Raw genomic sequence first — 25493 nt, 5'->3', positions numbered from 1 at the left:
ATTTATTTTCATTTACTTTTTGATGCTTCCATATACGACTTGATATTTTTAAAAATATGCTTATCAACCATTTGCATTCACCTGTCTGTGAATTGCCTATGAATAGGATTCACTCATTTTTTTCTGTGTTATTTCACTTTTATTATAAGTTTGTAAAAGTTATTGATATGTTGTCCATATTAACTCTTGTTATAGCTCAAGTAATATTTTCCCCAGTATCCTTGCCTTTGTTTTGTTTGGGGTATCCTTTGTTGTAATTAAAAAAACAATCCTATAGTCAAGCATGCATAACTTATTGACTAAATGGAACTTGGAGGGCAGAATTATGAAATAGACTTTTTCCCTTACACAGCACAAGTCAAATGTTTCTCCCTTCTCAGGTTCCAGAAGGCATCTCAGGCACTATCAGGATCAACCATTACGGTCATCTCCGGTTATCATTCCCCAGTCTGATGATCAGATATTGAATGTCCAGCCTAATCTAAACCTCAGTCTCCCACTCTCATCTGAGGAAGGGCTCCCCCAGCCATGGTGAGAAGTGAAGCCAGCTGGACTTCCTGGGTCGAGTGGGGACTTAGGGAACTTTCCTGTCTTACAAGAGGATTGTAAAACGCACCAATCAGTGCTCTGTAAAATGCACCAATCAGCAGGATTATAAAAGTAGCCAATCCTGGGGAGGATTGAAAAAAGGGCACTCTGATAGGACAGAAAAGGAACATGGGAGGGGACAATAAGGGAATAAAAGCTGGCAACCCCCAGCCAGCAGCTGGCAACCTGCTGGGGTCCCCTTCCACGCTGTGGAAGCTTTGTCCTTGCAGTCTTCACAGTAAACCTTGCTACCACTCACTCTTTGGGTCTGTGCCATCTTTAAGAGCTGTAACACTCACTGCGAAGGTCCACAGCTTTATTCTTGAAGTCAGCGAGACCATGAACCCACCGGCAGGAACTGACTCTGGACACAATGGCGGCTCCTGACCAGACCCTCAGAACCTGAGGACGGGGTGAGTCCTGACCTTATTCTTCCTCATGCCCATTCCCTGTGTTGGTCTCCACAGATGGCCAAGATGGTGGGCCAGTGGAGAGGGCCTTATCTCATTGGTGACATTTCAGTTGGACATTGGTGCCTGCTGGACAGTAGATGCCAACACTTGGATTCTCTTTCTTTTTAAAATTGTGATAAAATATACATAACATAAAATTGACCATCTTAGCCACATTAAAGTTACAGTTGAATGGCATTAAGTGCATTCACATTTTTGTAAAACTGATACCACCATCCATCCCCAGAAATTCTTCATCTTCCCAAACAGAAACTCCGTACCCATCAAACACCTCCCTGTTCCCCTTTCTCCCGCTAGCGCCTGGTGACCACCATTCTACTTTCTGTCTTGGTGAGCTTATCTGACTCTCTTTTCCTATTTGGAGCTCCTGCAGGTTCTCAGAAGGCAGTCCCTGTGGCCCTGTGTCGTCTAACCCTAGCAGAGTCAGGCACGACCTGGGGCTATCCCAGGCCCTGCTGGTGGCAAGGTTCCCAGGGTCCTCTGTGATCCATGCCTGAGATGCCCATCTGCTCTCAGGACACAAGTCGCTCTGTCTCTCCCACTCTGTCCTCCCAGGAAGCTCTAGGCAGCTTCTGACACTGTAAATTTTGCCAAGCCAGGGGCAGCTTTTCAGGGAGTTCTCTCCAATCATCCTCATTTGGCATGAGCTGGGGAAAACACACCTATCCCCACAGGGAAAGGTGACAGGTGAAGTATCTGCATAGCTTCTTCAAAGAGACCTCGTTGCACCCTCCTCACAGTCCTCCTTTAGGGCCCAGGAGGCAGAACAAATTTTGTTGGGGCTGCCCTTCACAAGTCTTTCCGGGAAAGCCGCTCACTCTGGTAGGATATGTGACCCTTTGCTCTTGGATGCAGCTTGAAATCAGAAGAGCCCCTGTGACTCCCTGCTGCACAGGCTATCCTATCCTTTATGGATTAAAAAAAAGAGATTTTGAGAATCAAGTCAGAGGGGGGTTCCGGGAGGCCCAGTAGGGATGTGACAAAGAACGTCTCCCCAACCCAACTCTACTCAGGCCTTCCTGAGCTCTTTTCCGACTATGTCTGACTTTGCGACCCCCATGTTCGTGTCTGCATTGTCCAGTTTTAGCAAGAAACCTGCTAAGTCAGTTTAGCCAGGAACCCCACCCTCGGTATCTGATCAGGTTCCTTATCCCCCACCACTCCCAGATGATGTCTGGTCACCCTGGTTTGTCTTCAGCAATAATCCTCTCAGGTCAGTTAAGCCAGAATCCCCCCACAGCCCTGATGTTTCTTCTGAGTAATTTTCCATCCACTGACCCCTGTCCTACTCCTTGGTGATAAATTCCCACTTTTCCTTGTTGTGTTCAGAGTTGAGCCCAGTATCTCTCCCCCACAGCAAGACCCCACCACAGTGGTTCCTGTACCTATCATAATGGTCCTAAATAAAGTCTGCCTTATCATGCTTTAACGAGAGAATGAATAACTTTGTCTTGAATAGATGTTCCAGATCTCTCTCCTCTTGCACAAGCAGGCCTCATGGTGTGGGTGTGAAGGTGCCTTCTGGGCAGGGAGCCCCAGCAGGAGAGCAGTGAGGAGGCTATTGCAATAACCCAGGCAAGAGGCTGGGAGCTGTGGCTCATGCCTGTAATCCCAGCACTTTGGGAGGCCAAGGAGGGCAGATCATTTGAGGTCAGAAGTTTGAGACCAGCCTGACCAACATGGTGAAACCCCATCTCTACTAAAAAATACAAAAAATTAGCCAGGCATGGTGGTGCTTGCCTGTTGTCCCAGCTACTTGGGAGGCTGAGGCATGAGAATCACTTGAACCTGGGAGGCACAGGTGGCAGTGAGTGGGGATCGCGCCATTGCACTCCAGCCTGGGTAACACAGCAAGACTCTATCTCAAAAAAATAAATAAATAAAATAAGTAAAAACAACCCAGGCAAGAAATAACTAGGCTTGTGGGAATCGTGTTACCCTATTCCAGAAAATCATTATTTAATCCATAAATCATACTATAGTTCCTTCAGAATCATTTTCGAATTCAAGAACCCATCAAGTCATCCTGGAAAGCGCTAGTTATGAGGACGTAAAAGATGAAGTCCCTGCCTTCTTCGGAGGAGACAGCTGGACCAAAACAAGGAGATGGACAGTCAGGGCGTGGGCGGGCCTGCCTAGCTCGGCCCTGCTCCGGAGGCTTTGACTACTGGATCCACAGCCCAGCTCAGAGCCATGCCCCTCCCCTTGGCATTTCCAGGTCCAGTGTTCTGTGGGTGATGCTCTCTGGGGGTGATGCGTGCTGCATTCCACAAACCGACCATGCTGGTTCCTCGTAAACACAGGAGGCCAAAGAGAGTGAATTAAGGAGGCTTGTTAAATGGGGCATGATAAATGTCATTTAGCTGGAGCATTTGAGCTCTGGCGCCATCCAATGAATGCATCAATTGTCTGCTTGAGGCTGTTAATTTGCTAACACCTGGAATCACAGGCCATCAACCATTTCTACCACAGACTCGGCACGCCATGAGAAGTGAGCACACCGGTGCTCGGCGGCTCTAGCAAGCTACTAAAATGCATCAAAACCTCACTACATACCCCATAAATACGTACAATTTAATTATATGTAAATTTACAAATAAAATTAAATTAATAAAATGTAAAATAAAAAATAAATAATTTTATACAGGCATTCCTGGGAGATAGTGCAGGTTAAGTTCTAGACCACCACGATAAAGTGAATATTGCAATAAAGCAAGTCACGTAAAAAATAATTCCAAAATTCTCACTTGCAGCTATGTACACATATGTATATGTGTGTTTATATGTATGTATATCTATCTATCTGTTTATCTATCTATGTCTGATTTTTGCACTGCTTACTGACACAAAGCAAACTCCACTTCTTTTCTTATAGAAGCTGGCATAAAAAGGCCTGGTTCACTCATCCCCACCAGGATCTCACTTCTTCAGTTTTAATTACCCCACAAAATAGATGTTATAAAATGTAGTCACACTTTATATATTCCTATGATGATATAGGACTATATAATCATGTGGCCAGATTGAATAGATAGAAGTGTTCCACTGTGGGGAACATGCTCAGGTTTCATTTGCACATATCAAGCATCCCCAAAAGAAAACAAACCAACAGGGAGACAGAATTGGTGAGTTGTTCCAGAATAGCTGCCATTCCCTGCCTTCAGCTGAGACAGGCATCCAGGCCTCCCTTCTACAGATGAGGAAGTGGAGTGTGGAGATGCTGCCATGCCCTTGCACCCCTGGGCTCACTCCCAGCTCTGTCTGAACCCCTTTCTCAGCCATCCCAACACCTGGACTTGAACCCCGTCTCTGCTATCAGTTTGGTGTGGGATAAATATTCTGGGATCCACAACATCCTCTTGAGCATTGAATGCTTTTGCTCTTTTATGTTGCTCATCAATGATGTTTTCTTCCTGCATCTCAGATGCCACCTCCAGCATTACTCTCATAAGAACACATGACTGCCACACAGCAGAAGGTTGGCTGTGCAAATCCTGATGCCAGTGGGAATTCTGGTAAGGCCAGCAGCAGCAGGAAGAATGAGGCAGGACTGAACCTCCCAGGGTCCTGTCCTATGTATGAAGAAGGGAAGGGCTGGCCCAGCCTTCCATGGGGAAGGGCAGAGCATGCTCTGAGCATTCTGAGGAATGCATGAGTGAGCCGCGCCATTCGGTCCTGGTAGCAAGCAAGGAAGAAATGAGATGAGATTCCAGTCTACGCGGTACCTCGGAATCAGTCGTCCTCCTGAGCGAGAAAAGGGTTCCTGGATCACGGTGGCAAACAGATGAATACAAAACTCCTCTCTTGCAAAACCCACAGTAGGGGGCAAGCAGCTGTCAGCACACCACGCTTTGGTAGAGGCAAAGCAGCTCAGAATGCTTAATGTCCCCTAAGGATCAGCAGTGCACATGGAGCCTGCTTCTGTGAAAGGGCTGGAGGACTCCACTGCTCCATGACTAATTAAAATGCACCAGAGCTTAGGTGCCATGCAAGTTGTCTAAGGGTTTGCTCACATTGCTCCCCATGGGCAGCCCCAACAGAAGTTGGAGGAGGCAAAGCCGGCAGATCCACATCCTCAGTGGAGGTGGCCTCTGCTGCCTACACAGGCCAATCCAGGGATGAGCCAGGGAGTGGTGCAGGAGCCAGAAGGTACTGGGACACAGCTTCTTCTGCAGGTTCCAGATGGAACTTCCAGAATGCCAAGAAGGTTTTTGGGAGATTGGGGACAATGTTAGTTAATAATAATTGTTAATTAACAGTGTGTATTTCTCATTCTCATATTTCTAAAAGATTAGTGAGGCAATTGCTCTATGGGAAAATCCAATCATTTACTGACTGTATATTGATTGTCAATCATTAATTGCCTCCATGAAAAACCTCTGCAAATCTCCTATAGCAATTTCTCCTGGAGCACTTAAAATATCATCAGATTAAAGAACTGTTTCTATACTATTTCACATTCAGGAATATATCTGCTTCTCCCAGGAGGTGTAGCAGTCCATACAGATATAGTCTCTACCCACAGTAGTAAACAAAATTAAAAATGTCCCATTTAGCATAAGTGAGAGAAGGGCAGGTTCCCTGGCCCCAGCATTACTGAGGGCTGGTTGACTTACACACAATGTCCATTTCCCTCTAGGAAAGTGGGAATAATAACAACTGTTTTCTCCCAGGTAAAGCAACACAAGATATGCTCAACAAAGTGTTTAGAGTTCTTCAGAGGAAAGCTACAATAAAATAATATAGTGCTTAGTGCTTCAGCTGTTTTCAGCCTAGTGCTTGTAGACTGACTTACCCACATCTGAGCTACCACACAATTTAGGAGATGAAAAACATCAGTCCTACTCAAGCATTTTAGGTGAACATTTATTTAAGGAATTTAACAGATAAAAGAAAAGGATTTAAAGAGTTAAGAGAAACTGATTGTGTTTGTGTGCGTGCATGTGTGTATGTGTTCGTATTTGGGCATATATCTGTGAGTAAGTGCACATGTGTGTGTGTGCCTGTGTGTATAGTTATATCTCTGTACATGAGTGTATGTGTGTGTTCATGTATGCATGCACACATGTGTGTGTGTCTGCATTTTTTTTTTCTCCAGCAGTGATCATTTCTGGTCCAGTGTCTTGACTGGCACCAAGTCAAGCATTGTCCTCCACGTCATCAGCTGCAGGCCAGATAATCTAAGGTGAGACCTGATCTTAGATTTCGTTTACTTTCTGGAAAAGTCTCCTGTGTCCCTTATTATTTTAAAAAGACTATTCCTTAGATTCAGCTAATTGTGTCATGTGCAAGAGTACTCTTTGTTACTGATGATGCTGACTTAGCTCTGCAAAATGCCTGGAGTTGCGAGCCTCAACAGAAGACTTTCTCCCAAGCCCTGTATCTATCCTGCAGTTTACACAATGAACACCTTGTATGCTGAATGCTGGAAGCTTCAGCACATGACTGGCTGTCCACAAATGCTACCAGCTCACTGGGCCTGCCAGAAGCCCCTTGTCCTACCCACTCCACTTCATTCTGGTGTCAGTTATAGACAGTGGGTTCTTGGCTGGTGAGAGCTTCCACACTGGCCTTCCTCGTTTTGCTAAAGACCAGGTGGAGGTACTGGCGTGGAGGACAGTGGATGAGAGGTCTTCTATAATAATAAACTTGTGAAGCCTGGGGACAGCACCCTAGTTATAGACTTCAGCACTGTAGTGAGAGAAATGCACTCTGTACTTAGGAATCATGTGTTGCTCTGTATTTCAACCAGATATATGGAATTAACTGAGTCCTATCCAACAGAGGCCACTTTATAACACAGAAGCCAAGTTAAACCCTTTAGATGAATGTCAATCCCATTAAATCCTATAAGAGGAGGGAGGTTTAGTTGAATGTTAAGGAAACTGATAGGGGCTTTTCTGCAAAGAAAAGACATAAGAAAGCTGTTCTTTGTAATGCATAGTTATAAAGAGTGAGCCCAGAAAGAACTTTATCTTAATAATTAATAAAAGGCATGTTAAATAAGTGTCACTGGCCCTTCAAATAAATTGCTTAAAATGCAATTATTGCTCTTAAATGAATAAATGGCCATAAAGACCTTCAGTAATCCAAAGGAATGAAGACTAGGGCTGATACGGATCACAGAGCACTAACAACCTTTATTTAAATAGTAGTTTAAAATAGAAATGTTTTGCTAGATGTATTGTAAAATCTTTAGCTTCAGATATTCTCAATAACTGCATTATTTATTTCAACCTGCTTATTTGATTTGTCACTTAAAACTGTTACAAATGCATATTTTAAAGGCATAGGACATGATGGAGTGAGTAGGGACATAAGTCTGAACACCTGGCTCATGAGCCCACAGGCTCGTGACCCTGAAAACAACTTTATTTCTCTGAGCACGAGGGTACCTTTCAATAAACAAAAATACTGGCCTCATTGAGTTTTCAGCGTGTTCCAATGAGGTAAGAAATGTGAAAATATCATGTGCTGTGAATATTATTAGTCAGAGTTAATATTAATCATTGCATTTTAAACATGATATATTTAACTCCCGCTCCAAACTGCCAACCACAATGGTAAACATGCTAAAGTATCTACGTATGGAACAACAAAACCAATCCTACATTTGGCTCTGAAGTTAGCACTTTCTTTTGAAGCATTGACATGCTAATAACAATCAGTTCAGTCAATTTGCAGGAAAAAAACATTTGGACATGATGTTTTGATTGACTAAGAGAAAACAACAGGTCACCTGTCTGAATCACACTGTTCAGTGGGGCAGTTTTATGTCTTCTTGTTTTAAATGCAGTTTTGGAACGAATCAAAGCATTAGAGACATAACTGCTTTTCCAGGGGCATAATATTTCCAACTGTGAAGATCCACAGGTCTCAGTAGCTGTTGACTCCTGTGATGTGAAGGAGGGAGGGGCTTCTCTACTCAGCTCATTCACGTTGACACAGGGCACTGACAGTTGAATCATCTCAGCGATTTCGTTTGTTCACGGGCTTTGCAGGCTATTGGAGTATGTAGGGCCATGTGTTCAGATTCCAAATGATTCAACTGAGGCCTGGTGAGTAAAATGAGGCCATGGAACCTCAGAGTCAATAAGGATCCAGAATCCAGTCACTAACTTTTAGCCCAGTACACTGTCTGAAGCCCTGTGTGCTGAGTCTCTGCCTTGATATAGTCAATATGCAGTCAATACAAGGCCAGTACTTGAATTTTTTAAAAAGAGATAAAAGGCCAGACGCGGTGGCTCATGCCTGTAATCTCAGCACTTTGGGAGGCTGAGGCGGGTGGATCACCTGAGGTTAGGAGTTCGAGACCAGCCTGACCAACATGGTGAAACCCCATCTCTACTAAAAATACAAAAATTAGCCAGAGGTGGTGACAGTCACCTGTAGTCCCAGCTACTCGGGAGGCTGAGACAGGAGAATTGCTTGTACCTGAGAGGTGGAGGTTGCAGTGAGTCGAGATCGTGCCACTGCACTCCAGCCTGGGTGAGACAGTGAGACTGTGTAAAAAAAAAAAAAAAAAGACAAAGGAAAACAGAAACAAGAAAAACCTGGAAGACGAGCCATATACACTTAGGACAGAAGTGGCAAGGATGGTAGGCAGGTGCAGGGTTTACTGTGCAATGCTTGCTCTAACATCAAACCTTCCCAGAGATGGACTGAGAATAGAGGACTATTGTTGACAGTCAGACAGAGCATGCTCTCAGTGTCTGCAGAAGCTGGGTTCCTGGCTGTTGGGCCAGTGAGACTCCTCACACCACCTCTCAGGAAAGTCACAGGGAGAGTATTGGCAGCTGGGCTTAGGGCCACACAGGGCTGGGTGGATTGGCAACTTGGAACCTATCCCTAAAGGGCCAACAAGTGACATGCTAACAACACCAGTATCCCACAGAGGAAAACAACACATATCTTGAATTTCAAATCTGGGTCTCATTGAGCAAACTGCAACCTCCAGTTGGCTCTAGGGGGAGGCGTCTATGATGGAGAAATGCAATATGGTATTGGACCCAGCGGTGGTGTGATGTGACCAGCAGGTCACTGTCGCAAGAGAGGAGCTGGGCCTGCCACCACCAGGAGGTAAGCTGCGGGCATGGGCCCAGTTACCCACCACCACAGCGTCACACGGGAGTGCCTCATGCTTCCCGCCTCACTTCCCCACTCTGCAGCTTTCAGTGGATTCCCCTTGCAGCTCTGTAGGTAAATGAGTTAGTGGATTCCTCTATGAGTTATTTTGTTGTTGTTGTTGTTATTTGGACAGGCAAAACTTTCCTTGCTCTTCTCACCAAAAAAAAACTGGGTTCCCATCTATCAAAAGGCATATGTCTGTAAAGCTATGAGTCAATTAAATTACAAATCAAAGACTATTTCTGACTGAGTCATGTCGATGCCTTATAAGAACTTAGAGCAGGTCCCCAGGAAGTTCCTTTCTCAGGGAAAGAACTGCTTCTAGTCAATCCTTGTTTCTGAAAGTTAGCTTTCTGTATATTGAATTATCCTGAAGCAGGGAATCCCTGGAACTGAATATTTTGTCTGAATTTGCACCCTGTAGTGGGAAGGTGGGCAGTGCCCTGCACAAGGAGCTCTGCCCTGTGGTTCGGCAAAAGGAGGGCAATTCAGGCCAGGGAGCAACGTCCTCATGTGGGGGCGGTGTGGCCTCAACAACCCCAAACAGACGCGCAGCCTAAACTACACAAACACTGACCTGCATGGCACAAAGCAGGAGATTTCTATCTCTTATGAAAACAGGCAAACAGCCAATCACCCTCCATGTTTCATGTTAGCAAGATCACCGTCCCAGCAGGTGGTTAATTGGCATGTTGTGGCATTCCTCCGTGGTCCAACCCACCATAACAAACCAGGGTTGTGGGTGACCCCAGGGGAGGCTGGCTGCCTAGAAAGGGAAGAAAGTGCATCGTGGACTCTTTATCACTCCAGAGGAGAGTCATTGGGTTTACTCCCTGCAGTGGTTTTCATTGTCATTAAAAATAATAACAATAATAACAAACAGAAAATTAAAAATAAAGCTTGCAGCACCACAGCCATTGGTGCAGCATTGTGCAGTGGCGCAATGTTAGCAACCAAGCGCTATTTACCCTCTGACTCTTTCAATCTATGTGCATTTCACAAATATTTACTAAGTATCATGGATACACAGATAGAAAGTTGTGATTCCCTACCCTTGAGGAGCAAGCAGCCTAATGAGGAGATAGATGCATAAACAGACAATTTCAACACGATGTCAATGCACTATAATAAACACATAGACAAGGCCCAGCGAGAATGCAGGGAGGGACCCCCTGAGACTATGCATGGGCAGGTGCCTCGGGGGAGACCCCCTGAGACTATGCATGGGCAGGTGCCTCGGGAAAGGCTGGTCAGAGGAGGGGAGAGGAAACGTGGCTTTTGTGGGGGACAGGAGGTCCCAGAAGCATTCAGGCTGGAAGGATTCCATGCAGTGGAACAGCTCGTTCAGTGTCTCATGGGAACCGCAGACCTGTAATGTTTGGGCAACCAGGCATAAAGGTGGCTGGGACATGGGGAAGGTGTGTCAAGCAAGTGGGAATAAGCTAGACAATGGGGGAGTCTCATACAGACCTTGATCAGGGGATGCCAATACCTTGGAAGCCAGGGTCCTCTGGTCCGGTGGGTTGGTGAGATTGGCAATTGCAGCCTCAGAAGCAGAATGCCCAAGAGGGCGGTAATTCCAAGCAACACAGCCAAGCTTCAAACCACGGCCCCCATTCCATCCAGGGCAGCCTTGAAAGACAGAAATAGAACACGAGAGACATCTGCAATTGTACGTTTTCTAGAAGCCACATTTTCAAAAAGTCTAAAGAAGCGGGTAAAATTAATTTTTATAATAAAAATGCTTTTGCCCACTATAGCTAAAATATTATCATTTCAACATGTAATCAGTTCCCAAAAAGTATTAATGTATTATTTTTCTTTGTATTTTCCGTTGTAAGTCTTCAAAACTCAGTGTGTATTTTACACATACAGCACGTCTCAGTTCAGAGCAGCCACATTTCAACAGCTCCATAGCCACACGTGGCTGATAGTGGCCATGTGGGCCAGCACAGGTCTAGAGTCTGAAGTGTCCGAGACACATGTTCTCCATTCAGGCCATAATTGGACTGAACACCATACTTGCTGGTATTTCTTTTCCAAAAGGTACATAAAAATGAAACAAGTACCCCTGCCAAAAGACATATAGTCATCCAATATTTCAACTGCAAGCTATAGGACTAAGTTGGTGGGAAAAGTTGTCTTAAAATAAACATGTACTGCATACTTCTCTTTGATTTCCAAAGCTTGAAGAGGAGAGGGTGGCATAGGATAATTTGCATTTTAATAAACACAGCCTCTTGCAAAACAATGCTCAACATTCTTGATGAGCGCCTCCCAATAACAATAATTACCATCAGAAGATGCCATGCCAGCATTCTCTAATGACTGTCTCCCAAGGCAGGCCATGTTTTGATTGACTTAAGGCAAAGCTGTTAAGTAACTTGCATGGGGCCATCCAGGGCGTTGGGTTTATGCAACTTGTTTCCCAGGAGGAAAGCAGTTTAATTTCCCTTAATTGGGCCACAATAGAGTTGGCATTAGAAGTAGGACTACAGCATGGGAATGTGTACACAATTTTTCAGTACTTAGGACCTCAGAGGGTCCCTAATTGTCCTTTAAAGCACAGGGTAATCAGTGGTGATGTCACCAGCCTCATGTATCGTGTCAACTCTGCCATATTGCCCCATCCCATGCTGGATGGCTCCGCTCTACTCAACTGAGGATGGGTGTATGTTTGGTTGAAGATTTAGCCACATCCAAGGGTCTGCTGGGTCCTGTAGGTTTTCACAGCTTAATCCCTCACGTCCTCAGGCAGGCTTGTACCTAGCTTGCAGAATTCCCATCCCAAGCGCTCTGTGGTCTTGGGCTCCTTTCCAATTCTCAGTTTTGACAACAGCACTGTGGTGTTTGCAAGCACAAGATAACCCCACACGCCCTGCCAGGGCCTTATAACAACTTTATAGAAAAGCACTCACAAGAGATGCTCACTCACTCTGAGTCACCATGCACCAAGCACCAAACCAAAAGCTGTGCCGGGATGAGATCAGTAAATCTTCTGTGCCACTCCATGAAATGGGTCTGGTCATGATCCACATCATACAGACGGGGAACCCAGGGAGGTTGTGTAACTTGCTTTTGCAGCTCAGTAAGACCTGCCAAAGCCAGTTGATTCCGGGGGGCAAAGATTTAAGCTACTAGACATGGCATGCTTTATTTGGCTGTGGTTAATTTCTTGTCTTGTATGGTTATAAAATAGAAACACCATAGCAGGCAGAATTCTACAGTGACTCCCAAGATTTCCACCCTCTCACATCCATGCCCTGTGGAATCCCCCCCCTTAGGTGAGGGAGAAACCCATGAATACGACGGAACAGCAATTTCATAATTTGATCAAAACTTGGCTGACTTTGAATTGATTAAAAGAGACTATCCAGGAAGGCCTGACCTAGTCAGGTAAGATTCTTAAAGGCCCTTTCTGAAGAAAGAAAGATTCTAAGCATGAGAGAAGCTGTGGATGGGGCCAAGTAGCAAGGAACCCCAGAAACCTCCAGGAGCTGAGAGCAGCCCCTGGCAAGCAGCCAGCAGAGAATGAGAGCCTCAGTCCTACAACTTTCAGGAACTAAAGAGGACCCTGAGCTGCAGGAATGAATGCAGGCCAGCTAACACCCTAATTGTAGCCAGTTGGAAACCCTTCACAGAGAATCCAGCCTGGATTCCTGACCCATAGAAATGGTGACGTAATAAATATATGTTGTTTTAAGCCACTGAGTCTGGGGTAATTTTTTACATAGCAAAAGACAACATATCCACATACTTTTCCATCTGCAGGTGGACTTATCTGATTATCAATACTTGCAAAAGGGGGCATTAGAAATACCTTCCTTTAATTAGTTGCTCCATTTCTGCAGGCTCTTCCTCACTGGCAATATTACTATTTTAAAAATAATTAATAAACTTTATTTTTAGAGCAGTTTTAGGTTCACAGCAAAATTGAGTGAAAAGTACAGAGATTTCCCATTTACCCTCTGCCCCCACACATCCACAGCCTTCCCCATTATCAACATCTCCCCACCAGAGAGGTTCATTTGTTACAATGGATGAATCTACATTGACATATCATTATTACCCAGAGTCCATAGTTGACATCGGAATTCACTTTTGGGGCGGTACCGTCAATGGGTTTTGACAAATGTATAATGGCATGTATCCACCAGTATAATATCACACAGGGTAGTTATTTTCATGCCCTAAAAATCTTCTATGCTCAACCTATTCATCCCTCTCTCCCTTCTAACTCCTGGCAACCACTGACTTTTTACTGTCTCTATATTTTTTCCTTTCCAGAATGTCATATAATTAGAACATACAGTAAGTAGCCATTTCAGGTTGACTTCTTTCACTTAGTAATATGCATTTAAGGATTCCCCCATGTCTTTTCATGGCTTGATAGTTCCTTTCTTTTTAGGGTGGAATAACATTCCATTGTATGAATGTACCACATTTTATTTATCTATTCACCTACTGAAGGACATCTTGGTTGCTTCCAAGTTTTGGCAATGATGAATATAGCTACTATAATCATCTATATGCAGTTTTTTTTGTGTGGACATAGTTTCCAACTCCTTTGAGTAAATACCAAGGAGCATGATTGCTAGATCTTATGTTTAGTTTTGTAAGAAACTGATAAACTGCCTTCCAAAGCGACTGTACATTTTGCATCCCCATCAGCATTGAATGAGAGTTCTTGCTGCTCCATGTCCTCACCAGGATTTAGTGTTGTCAGAGTTCTGGGTTTTGGTGTGTGGTGGTATCTCATTGTTTCAATTTGCAGTTCCCTAATGACAATGATGTGGGGCATCTTTTCACATGCTTACTTTCCAGCTGTACCTCCTCTTTAGTAAGATTTCTATTAAAGTCTTTCACTCATTTTTTAATCTAGTTGTTTGGCTTCTCATTCTCTTGATGTTGTCTTTTGCTGCACAAAAATGTTTTATTTTACTGAAATCCAGTTATCAATTATTTCTTTCATGGACTGAGCCTTAGCTGTTGTATCTAAAAAGTCATCACCATACCCAAGGTCATCTAGGTATTCTCCTATGTTATCTTCCGGGAGTTTTGTTTTACATTTTAGACTCAAGTCTATTGCCTACTTTAGTTAATTTTGTGAAGAGTACAAGATCTGTATCTAGAACTTTTTTTTTTTTTTGGCATGAGGGTGTCCAGTTGTTTCAGCCCCATTTGTTAAAAAGACATTTCTCCATTGTATTGCCTTTGTCTTAGTCAAAGTTCAGTTGACTATATTTATGTGAATCTATTGGGCTCTGTACACTGTTCTGTTGAGATGCTTGTCTATTCTTTCACTGATACCACACTGTGTCAATTACTATATGACAAGGACATATTTGTATCCCTCCAAAATCCATATATTGAAACCCTAATCCCCAATGTGAAAGCATTTGGTGATGGGGTCTTTGAGAGGTAAATAGGTCACAGAGTGAAACCCTCATGGTGAGATTAGTGTCTTTACAAGAACTGACTTGAGAGAGCTTGTCTTTTCTCCCTCTGCTCTCCACTGTGAGATGACTAAAAGATGACTATCTGTGAATGAGAAAGAGGGCCCTTACCAAGACCTTGACCATACTGGTACCCTGATCTTGACTTCAAGCCTTCAGGACTGTGAGAAATAAATGTTTATTGTTTAAGCCACCCAGTCTATGGTGTTCTGCTATGGCAACCCCACTAGGTTACATATGAGGCTGGTGTCCTGGCTGCCCCTTGTAGGGCTCAAAGGTTGGACCACAGACTTGATCGGTGTGATTCAGTAACATGTCCTTGTTCCACAGTATTCATTTAATTCTAAAAGGAATACTTTAAAAACTCACTAAAGTCTTCCATCCCTTCTTTCACACAAACCAAAGCAGCATTTTCAGCACTGCGGTATGTGATGAAAATATGGCACCCCAGGGGGCAAAAGAATCTTTTGTGCAAATGCAGATGAAACATCAGTTGTGATTTGCAGGACATAGAAGGGCCTGGATCTCAAAGATTGCTTGTTTCTTTTGCAAACTACAAAGTAAATTCTGTATCCCCCAACTGCCACCTTCTGACTTCTGTTCACAAACATTGGGCCAAGAGAGGCCTGAGGTCAGTATACATGCCTGCAAGTGGCCTTCTTGAAGGCTTGTTTGCTTCATTTTTATGCCTACAAGGTTGACATAGAATTGAGTTGTCCTCTGCATGGTTGCTGAATCATGATATATCATTTAGTAAGAAGAAAATTGTGACCAGGTGCTACAACAAAGTTAAGGGATGATGAAGTTTGTGAGATATGATTTATGAACACAGTTAAGGGTGGATGGACACACTGGAGAATTTGCAGAAATAGGCTGGTGAAGGAAGGCATTGGAATCTACCCATGGACTTTTATAACTAAAAGATTGAAATTGACTTTCACCTTTACCACCCCACCCCTTCCTCACCTCAACTCCCCTACACCATTGGAGGGTTACAGGAAGCAAAATAGAATGTTCCAGGTTGATCTACCTGATACCTTGAGGAAAAGGCACTGGTAGGTTCTCACTAGAAGAAATATCAACAGACCACAGATCCTATTCTTCCCACCCACATTTCCCTTTTAAAAGTGTAAATTTTGGAGTTAGCTCTGGGTCTGAACCCCAGCCTGTCACAGTAGGGACAAGTTACCTACATGCTCAGAGCCTCTGTTTCCTTGTCAACTAAATCAAAATAATATAGTTGTCTCTACAGCTGAACTTGAGATGTTGAAATAATATAGATACAGAGCCTGACAAATAAGATGCCTTCAAATCATTTCTCTGATTTGGACAATTTTCACTGAGTTATTTTATTTAGTATCTGTGTGGACCTGTCTCTGTGCTAGGAACTTTCATGCCACCATCTTGTAAGGTTAGTGAGCCCCCAAAACTTAAAGAAAGGGATGCTATGTCTGCACCAAGAAAGCTAAGAGGCAATTAAAAATACCTATAAACTGGCAAGCTACAGCTCCTGTTTCTTTGTTCACCTGTTTTGTTTTGTTTCCACCCAGATGATGCCAAACAGTCACTGCAGAAGAATTTGCTGCACGGAGCTGTCTGGGATGCCTCAGACCTGCCAGCGGTAGAGCTGCCTGCCTTGCTTCCTCTTGCTTACTCACAGCTCTAAGTCTGAACTTGGCTGCAGCTGTCCTGAACAGCCCAGGAGGAGCCTAGGCAGGAGGAGGCTTCTCTCCTATGCAATTTGGCTGAATTTTAGTTACTCAAAAGAGCAAAGGAAGCACTTCTGAATATTCGTCAGGAGGAGCCAACCACCTTAGCTTGCTCCCTGATGGGTTTTGTTCAGCCCCTGCCTTACTGTTGTCAGCCTGGACTGTCTTCTGGGCTTGGGTTCACCATGTGTCTGGACCACGGGAGTGTCTCTAGGTGTCTCCCTTCCTGTGCATTTCTCCTGGGCATAGACACCCATCCTGTGGAACACTGGGAGGAGGGTGCAAGACCCCACTGCACCCAGGCTTGGTTCCTCTTGGGTGCAGCAGCCTCATCCCCTTGCAAGCCTTCCTCCCACTCCTCCCAGAAGGCTCTGCTTCCTCCACTTGCTCCTCTCCTAGGTGTGAGCCAGCAGGGTTTGGTCACCCAGATATGAAGTATTAATGTTGGACTCCTGTCTGGAGTCGGGAGTCTATTAAGGAAGACGTGTGGGAGAGGCCTGTGTTCAAGGCCCTTAGAACCATTCTGCCTGAGCCATCAGCTCCTTAAAAAGAAATCACCAAAGATCCCAAACAATGGCAGAGTCCCCCTCCCACCCTTTGGGCTACTTGGTAAATAGGCCCACCAATTCTATCTCCAAAATATCTCCCATCAGGACCATGTGTATATTGACATCTTTATCTTCCATCAGGTCAGGGTTGCCACAAAAGCCTCCATCCAAATTTCCTGAAAAAGCCCAGTTTCTCTAAATGTGTGCATGAACACGGTGCTGGGCATGGCCCTCTCCTCTCAGTCCTTCTGCAACGCCCAGTGCCTTCACAGCCAAGGCCAGACTTCCTAGTGGAAGAGCAAAGTCCCTCCTGACACGGCTTCTGCTTGCATCTGCAGCCCCACTTCCCCCACACCACGCTGCACCCTGAGCTCCTCACGGAGAGCCACCGTGTTTCACACCTGCCGTGCTCTGGGCCAGGTCGCTGGGCTTGCTGGTCCTTAGACTTGGAGCACCTGATGCTGTTTGCCCATCTGTGTCCTTGTCAGCCTTTGAGAATTGGATCTGGCAGCCCCTCCTCAGGAAGCCCATGAGAGCCTCCGCCCCATACTCACACAGACCCTGAGCTAGGTGGCCCCTGCCTGTGTCCCTCAGCTCCCAGCCCAGCTTCCATGCAGCTTTAGCACAGTTTACCAGCACCATCAAGACCCCTCTGGGAGGACAGAGAGCTCTGGGAGGACAGAGAGCTCTGAAGGACAGAACACGCATGCCTTTCTGGTTGTTCCTCTGAAGCCTAGCACAACACTGACACGTGAGAAATACTGGCTGAATAAAAGGTGGAAGTGAAAAAGAACAACACTGACACGTGAGAAATACTGGCTGAATAAAAGGTGGAAGTGAAAAAGAAAGACAAGAAAGGAGGATAGAAGGAAGCAGAGTGGTTGGGAGGAAGGGAGGGGGGAATAGCTTTTCAAGGAAAAATGATGGATGGTATGAGAATGAAGGGGAGATGACTATTTCCTACAGAAAATTTCTATTGTCATTAATAATGACTTTTGGCATCACTCTTTTGTTTCTCATTTTCTAGACTCCACATTTAAGGCCTATCTAGTGTAAATCGAGGGGAGAAAAGGTACCAGTTCAATTGCCAAGCAAACTTAACATATAAGTTAGTCGCAGATCTGGACTGGAACACAGATCTTTCTCTCATTTTTGAAGCACTCAGGGTTGGGACTTTGACTATCAAACTTGTCTTCTTAAATAAGGTCATGCTTACCTGGGTTTCTTCCAAATCATCACACCCTCACTCAAACTGTGTTTAGAAAAGAAAGGGGAAATTAGCTGCTTGTTGCTCAAATATTAAGAGCTCCTTCCTGCAGATTGACGCTACTTTGTAGATCAGGCCACGCCTGGCAAAATTCTTGGCAGTGTTGTGTCTACACAGGAGAACACCCTCCTAATGGGCCGTGGGTTTACATTTCCTGTAGAGAGATGTGACTGCTATGCATGATACCCTGAAAAAGTGATGCTGTAGGTCTAGCTACCTGAACAATGCAGACTGCGTCCCTTCGCAGCTGTGGAGTGGGGAGTACTGGTCCCACACTGAGGACTGAAGGATTCTCTGCTTTCTTGCTTGAACTGCAAAGGATGCCTTGACTTTGGGCTGCCAGGAGGGGGACGGTGTGCTGGCTTTCACCTCGCCAATTGGCAAAGTTGGCTTGGCCAACCTGATGGGTCAAACACACCTGGGGTCAAAACAGAATCTCTAGCTCTACCCTCAGCCCTCAGTCCCATAGCCACATGAACAGTCTGAGCAGTGTATTTGCTGGTGTGAACTGAAATAGGAGGACAAAGAAAGAGGAAACGAGGGAGGGATTTGAGCAGAGAGGAACACAGCCCTTGGCCCCATGGTGGGCTGCCACCAAGAAGGTGAAGGGAGGGTCAGTCCCAATCTGAATCCCACCAAAATAGGTGGTAGAGGGTTGCCCTCCTTTCTTCCCTCACCTCTGACCCCGCTCTTCGAAGCCCTGGTCCTGTCAAGGCACCTATCCCATGGCCCATGTGGCAGTAGCTTGTTCCCAGCGACCACTCAGCTTTCCACTGAATGGAAGCAGAGAGTGAGTCCAGGTATCACTTACTCAAGGCAGAATCTTCCAGAACCTTCTAGACTCAAATGAGTGAAGTGGTTAAAGAGAGAAGAGAAATCACTGGGAGCAAGGTCTCTAGATGGGGTTTTCTTCCCCTGTCCCCACAAGTCCCATGCCATAAGTGACCATTTTATAAACTTGCTGCTGGGACAGCTTCATTCCAAAGATATTGTGGTTGGGCTGTGAACCCAGGAAGTTTACATGATCAACTTTTACCCAAAGGATTGTCACATGACCCCCAGTGCTGGGATGACACAGAAATACAATCTGTCAAATTTATATGAATCCAAAGGGAAATGAAACATGTAAAACTGAGACTGCAGCCCAGTTTTTTGTTATGGCTTCAACAAAGCAATGCCACATCAGCCTGTCTGAGCATAGCACATTGTCTTCATGTTGATGTGCAAGATTCCCTACAGACTGCAGACCAGGGCTCAGCAAGAACATGGAAGGAAAATGTCCCACAGCAAAAGGAGAAACAAATACAGATTAGAGTGTTTAACAGGGCCAGGCACACAGCAAGTCATCACTGGATGGCAAATCTAAACTCAGCAAGTCATTACTGCATGGTGAATCTAAGTTCTTACAGTTATCACTAGTACTGCAGACACCTAGTGGAGACGTATGCTTACTCATGCAGTGTGTGAGTAAGCTCAGGCTGCCAGCACAAAATACCATGGACTGGGTGGCGTAGACACCGCAATGTATCTCCCACAGTTCTAGAGGCTGGACATCCAAGATCAAGGTGCCAGCAAGGTAGATCTCATTCTGAGGTTTCTGCCCTTGGCTTGTAGGTGGCCACAGCCTCCCTGCATGCTCATGTGATCTCTTCTTTGTGTATGGAGGAAGAGGTGGGGGAAGCCTTCTGGTGTCTCTTACAAGGACACTAATCCTATTGGATCAGGGCCTCACCCTTATAACCTCATTTAACCTTATTTACTTCTGTAAAGGCCCTGCATCCAAATACAGCCACACTGGGTGTTCAAGCTTCCACATATGAATTTTGGGAGGATACAACATTCAGTCTATGAGATGAAGGCACAGTCCGGTAGCACTACTCTGAAGTTATCTGATGCTGTGCATCTTTATCTACATGGTGACACTTAATTCACAATTTATCCCCAGGACTCAGGCCAGCTAGGCAGGCATTATTAAAGAAAAGTCTGTCTGGTTCAGTAAAATCTTAGGATAGAATTCTACTAAGCCTATCAATTGGCTTTTGATTCCAGAACCATCTTTGTAAAAGGTTGTAGGGAAAATTTGTAAAAGGTTGTAGGGAAAAATATGTGGGGGAAAAACATTTAAATGAAATCATGGTCTCCTTTGGAAATCCAGGTTACAGAACATGGTGTGCAGGCATGAGGGTCACCAGGTCTTGCTGGATTGCAGATGCTCATGGTGAAGACAGGAGTTTACAGGGGCAGTGGGTCTGCCCACATGTCCCAGCACTGAGCCGTTGCTGACTCTCAGAACCTGGTCATCCAGGTGCTGTGTCCCCTACTCGTTTACTGTAACTGAGAAATTTTCCAGGCAAGGTGGAGCTGAAGCCTAAATATATCTTCAAGCCCTCATGCCTGTCTGCTTGCAAATATTTCACCCTTCCTTCTTGGCTATTTCCATCAATGTTGTTTTGTTCTGAGAGTGAATGCCCAGAGAGAGACATTCTGTACTTAACCGGTTTGTGTTTTGTGATTTTTGTGTTGGTACTAGCTCTTTCAGCACAGTGAAATTTTAAACAAGTAACTCTCTCTGCTTACCAGGCACTGTGCATTCCCTGCCCATGAGGAAGGAAGCAGCTTATTCCATTTTCACCCCAGCAGAACCCCTGCATGCAGGTTTAGGTCAACACTAGCTGCCAGCAGGATGGAGACCCAGCAGCATGCGGCACACGGGAGTCTCGCCGCGGGTCCTTGACAGAAGAGTAACGAGACTTTTCTTGAAATAGTGTCCTGAGTTGAGATCTGAGAAGAACCTGTTATGCATCCTAGAACACAGTGCATTTGCAAGTCATAAGATGTTAGCACCGATTATGGAGCCTCGTGTGTTCTTAGGGGCTATTTCCGTGACCTCGTCGGGGGTTCAATGAGCAGCTTCAACAGAAAACTGGATTTCCTTTTCCTCCAAGGCTGTCTTATTTCCAGATTACTCTGGACCTAATTTTAATCGTGCACACCTACCATGGCAGGCTGTTTTCCTGTCCTCCCAATGATCTCCATACAATCTCACTGCTGGGTAGCACCTCCATTCCCTTGCTTACCTAAGCCATCAAAACCTGCAACAACTCACAAAACCACAAAAAGCAACAGAAAATATCAGAAGATAATCAAATGAATCAAGACCTCCAGAAAACTGTGCATAATTCAGTTTTCATTTCATTTAATGATAATGTCCACAGTTAATCAGGCATTCCTTATCATTTGGATCTACATGTTGAATAAACACAACATCCCTAGACCTTTGAGGGTTTTCTAAATAATCTGCTGTTGATTTTCTTAGGTACTGACCAGATTACTATGAATATTCCTGATAGAATATGCTGACAAGAAACAAACAGGACAAGCCTAAAATAGAGGTTCTGGTAAACATTCAGGGAAAAGTTTATTACTGACATGTGAGAGCTCGGTTTTCAAGGTTAATAAAATAAAGTTGACAGAAGTCGTGATGCCTCACATGACTCAGACCCATTTCTCCTTTCCTTCGTAGCAGATACCAGTGGGCAGACAATTCAATGAACCATCTTTGAATTCTGATTCCTGACTCAGAAAGAGAAACAAACCCCTAGAGCAGAAAACTTGTTCAGTGACAGGAAATATTCCATACATGTTTGTGTAACACTGGAATTCTTCTAATCGCATGAGGACATGACATGACATGACAGCTGGCATGCTGGGCACTGCAGTGAGTACCACAGGAACAGCCTGCACCAGTCCACGTGCAAATAAGAAGGAAATACAACCTTCATTCTAAGAGGTTCTCCGAGGTCATGCGGGCAGCTTCTCCCAGGCTGTTTGTGAAATATGGGGGGAAGATGCTCTCGGAGGACCCAAGCAAAGAAGCCTATTTATCCTTGTTATTCTGCATGATCTAACGTATTTGACCACACATACTCACCTTTTACTTTTCTAAAACTCCTGCTACATCCTCTGAACTAAAGTTTCAGAGTACACAGAGTGGGGCTTTTGCTGCACCATAAGCAACAGCAACTCCTCCAGCTTTGTGCTTTTAAAATTCTGTCATGACACTAAAGTTTTCATTGAGAACTTTATCTTGTTAAAGTTCTTTAAGAAGCCCCAAGTCCTGAATTCTTTTTTTCTTTTTAATTTTTTAAAGACAAGCATTAAATATTTGAGGTTTATTCTTACACAGAGTGACTCTAACCTTGAGAAGTTTAAATATGCACACTCGTACATGCTTTGGTTCGCATGCACAGGGGCCTGGCAGATGCAAGCCTCATGGTAGACATTGACCAGCAGCAGCTGCTCTGTTCCTCTGGGAAGCGGGTGCCCAGGATGGCATGCAATGCATTCCCCTGCTCAGTGCCACAAAAGATCCAGAGGAGCCGACACGGTCCATCCCACTCCTGTGATGCTGCAGCTCTGGGGGCGTCGCTGGAGAGGTCAATGTGCTGGTCACGGACTTCCCAACATTCCGGCAGATGACAGCATGAAAATTCACTTTCTTTGTGGGTCATTGATTAAGGGATGGGCATAGGGCCCAATTCAATCCCATGAGTTGCAGGGAGACTCCCCTTGGAGATTTTTTTCTGGAGGGATTTATGGCTTCAGTTGGGTTCCCTGGAAATGATTTATGAGGGTGTTTTCTTGGGAACAACAACCATAAGTCAGGAAAGCAGGATTGGGCAGAGGCATTTCAGGTGGAATGTGGTCTCCACAAGGACCTCCATTCCCCCAAAGGCAGCAGTGGATCTGAGATAGCCCTTCAGAGGCCATCACAAATAGAAGCCAGGCAGTGGGCATCTTCCTCCTGCGTCTAGTCACTGGTGCAGGCTGTCCCTGGAGAGTGGGCATCACCTGGGCTATGTGTCCCCTTTCCTTAGAGAGTCTCAGCTGTGAGCCTTCAGCAGCTGGTACCACCCGCAGTGGGAGAAGGAGTAGCTACATCCTGATGAGGTTTCCTGGGTGCTGCATCACCATCCACTACAGATCCCTGCCCTGCTGGGACTCTCTTGCTTTGTATGGCAAGTCCACTCCATCTGGGAGCAGCTCCTCTGGTGTTTTTGTCTATCTTCTTCCTGAGGAAACAACCAAGAGATTTAGTGGAAAGAATCATGGCTGCAGCCACTGCAACTCCTCTCCCCACTGATGCTTCTCAGCTCCCTCGTCCACTAGCCATTGTATGTTCTCCTTGCTCTTGGTCTGCTGAGAGCTGGTCCCTGTGGCCCTCCTAATGTGGTGACCCACATCCTCTTTCCTGAAGTCTGAGGTTCTATTTACCAAGCACTTCTCAGACTCTGGCTGCAGTGCTTGTTTATTTGCCATCAAAATGAGGCAAGGGAACACCAAGTGGTGCCTGGGGATCCCCTGAGTGCCAAACATTTTCCTCCCTGCCCCTGTCGTGTGAGGCAGCCCTCTCTTCTCTGGCAGTCAGAGCCTGTGGCCCCCTCCAGGAAACGGACTCCTCTTCTGCCTCCTACTTTGTTGGATGAAAACCTCAGAAGTTTAAGCAAAGTTTAAGCTTCATGGATTCTTGCTGTGACCCCTGATGGAAGCATTCCCCCTTTGGGAAGAACATCTCTAGATCCATAGAACCTTAAATTGCTGGGAGGGGAAACAGAACTTATTCCACAAATAGGTCTGGGGAGGGATGTAAGCAGATCCATGCATACTTCCACTTCTTGGATCCTAGACCTGCGTCCTGCTACTCAGGGTTGGGGGGATGCAGCTCCATAAAGTGATGCTGGATGCGGGGTGTATTCTGCATTCTGAAGGATGGTGCCCTGGCCTTGCCCAGGCTCATCTCTAAGCTGGCACTGCTCTGGGCCTCCTCTAGTCTGTATAACTGGGCCTTCATGTCAGCAGCTTCTGGGCAACGTGGGAGGTGAGGACCAGAGGACCTAGGTGCGTGTGCCTGCTGCTGTACTACTTTTGCTATAAGGGTGTCCCTTGGTCTGAGAGGATGCTGCATAGTGTTTCCTGCAGGTCATCAGATTTTCATTCTGGCAAAGGTGCACATGCAGGAACATCAAACCCATAACTAGAATATAAATCAATTTCAGTCAAGAAAGATCTCTTTTCTTCTAGGAAAGGGATCCAAATGTAAGCAACTTGACACCCGATGATTGGTTGGCCTACTTGAGGGACGGTGCCATGTTCCAGCATCAGGCGGATGTTTCACAGAGACAGGAGCTGGTCAGCCCTGGGGAGTGGATGCCTTCCACAAGGCTCACGCATAAGCCCCATCCCTAGCACCATGGCTACTACCTGCATGTACCTTGCATGCCAGCACTGGGGTCGCCAGTATCAGAGGCTGGCTGATGCCACCTGGCTTGTCCTTCTGTCCAGCTCGTCGTTTGGTTCCTCCTACATGGCAATTGCTCTCTGGTGGGTGTTATCATAAGATACAGAGATTTTCACACTTCATGCCCACCTCCATAGACCCATCCATGCCTTCTCCCCAGACCACCTCTTTCCCACTCTCCTAACCCATCTCCCTTAAGACTCCCAAGCCAAATCACACATTACCCATAAATTCAAGTATAGTCTTACATCGAACTTCTTCTTTCTTCACACAAAGATTTCCAAGTGAGCTACTGAAAACTCCAACCACTGGGAGAATCTCTGCCCACCAGTGTTGATAAGTCCCCCCAAGGAGGGATGTAAGCAGATTCATTCCTACTTCCACCTCTTGGTTCCCAAAAATATGTTCTACGACTTTGGGAGTAGAAGGGCAGGTCTATAAGAAGATTCTGGAGGAAGGGTGTATACTGTATCCTGGAGGACGGTGCCCCAGCCTTGGTCAGGGTCATCTCCAAGTTGGCACTGTGGAGGCTACAAGGTCCTTTTTAGATCAGTCTGAATTGGTTTTGTCTTCCTTAAAGATGATAGCATTGTGACTGGTACATGTTATTTCAAAATTGAACTTAGAGAAAGCTCAAAGAATGGACGGAAAAAAACAAAAAGAGAATTAACAAGACTGATTGAAATTTTTTCTGACCTTAGTCTTGTTTTTCAAAAAAAAATGTAGAGAGGCTATAATGAAATGGGGACAATATTGTTGAAATATATTGATGTCCTTTTCTCTTTTGCATTTGTTTATACTGACCTTCTTCTTACTATGTTGGTGGCATTCAATTGCTTCAGGGATATTTAGGTTTGCTAGTCTATGAATATGAAGAAAGATTCCATATTATATTCTGACATCTAGAACATGATTTTTTAATCTGCAGCAAAACAGTTGTTTTATAAGTCAAGGATTTTCTATTTTTTTTTCTGTTTCTGCTAAGATCCAGGCCTGGACAATAAGACATTAAGTTTAGCATTATCCA

At 45.1% G+C, this 25493-nt stretch overlaps 1 long non-coding RNA gene and 1 other non-coding gene across 2 annotated transcripts, besides 3 other annotated features; both read left to right on the top strand.

The window, feature by feature from the left end:
- Positions 1–794: 794 nt before the first annotated feature.
- MIR4290HG (MIR4290 host gene) lies at positions 795–21640 on the top strand. The gene is made up of 4 exons (NR_038882.1): positions 795–1001; positions 6163–6246; positions 16195–17731; positions 20749–21640. It is a non-coding gene; the product is annotated as an MIR4290 host gene (long non-coding RNA).
- Positions 7573–8110: an enhancer, noted in NCBI's record as "NANOG hESC enhancer chr9:92796466-92797003 (GRCh37/hg19 assembly coordinates)". NCBI's record gives its function as "activates a minimal SCP1, AML or CMV promoter by ChIP-STARR-seq in primed H9 embryonic stem cells {active_cell/tissue: H9 hESC(primed)}" and the evidence as "EXISTENCE:reporter gene assay evidence [ECO:0000049][PMID:30033119]".
- Positions 17358–17407: an enhancer, noted in NCBI's record as "active region_28567". NCBI's record gives its function as "activates an Ori minimal core promoter by ATAC-STARR-seq in GM12878 lymphoblastoid cells {active_cell/tissue: GM12878}" and the evidence as "EXISTENCE:reporter gene assay evidence [ECO:0000049][PMID:35858748]".
- MIR4290 (microRNA 4290) lies at positions 18759–18853 on the top strand. The gene has a single exon (NR_036253.1). It is a non-coding gene; the product is annotated as a microRNA 4290 (primary transcript).
- Positions 21981–22150: an enhancer, noted in NCBI's record as "experimental_108919 CRE fragment used in MPRA reporter constructs". NCBI's record gives its function as "activates a minimal promoter by MPRAs in K562 erythroleukemia cells, with activity observed for both the introgressed and non-introgressed 9:92782511 variant alleles {active_cell/tissue: K562}" and the evidence as "EXISTENCE:reporter gene assay evidence [ECO:0000049][PMID:34662402]".

This window comes from Homo sapiens, chromosome 9, assembly GCF_000001405.40.
Source record: "Homo sapiens chromosome 9, GRCh38.p14 Primary Assembly".
In the NCBI taxonomy this organism is placed as follows: Eukaryota; Metazoa; Chordata; class Mammalia; order Primates; family Hominidae; genus Homo; species Homo sapiens.
This window is presented reverse-complemented; position numbering and strand designations above follow the sequence as displayed.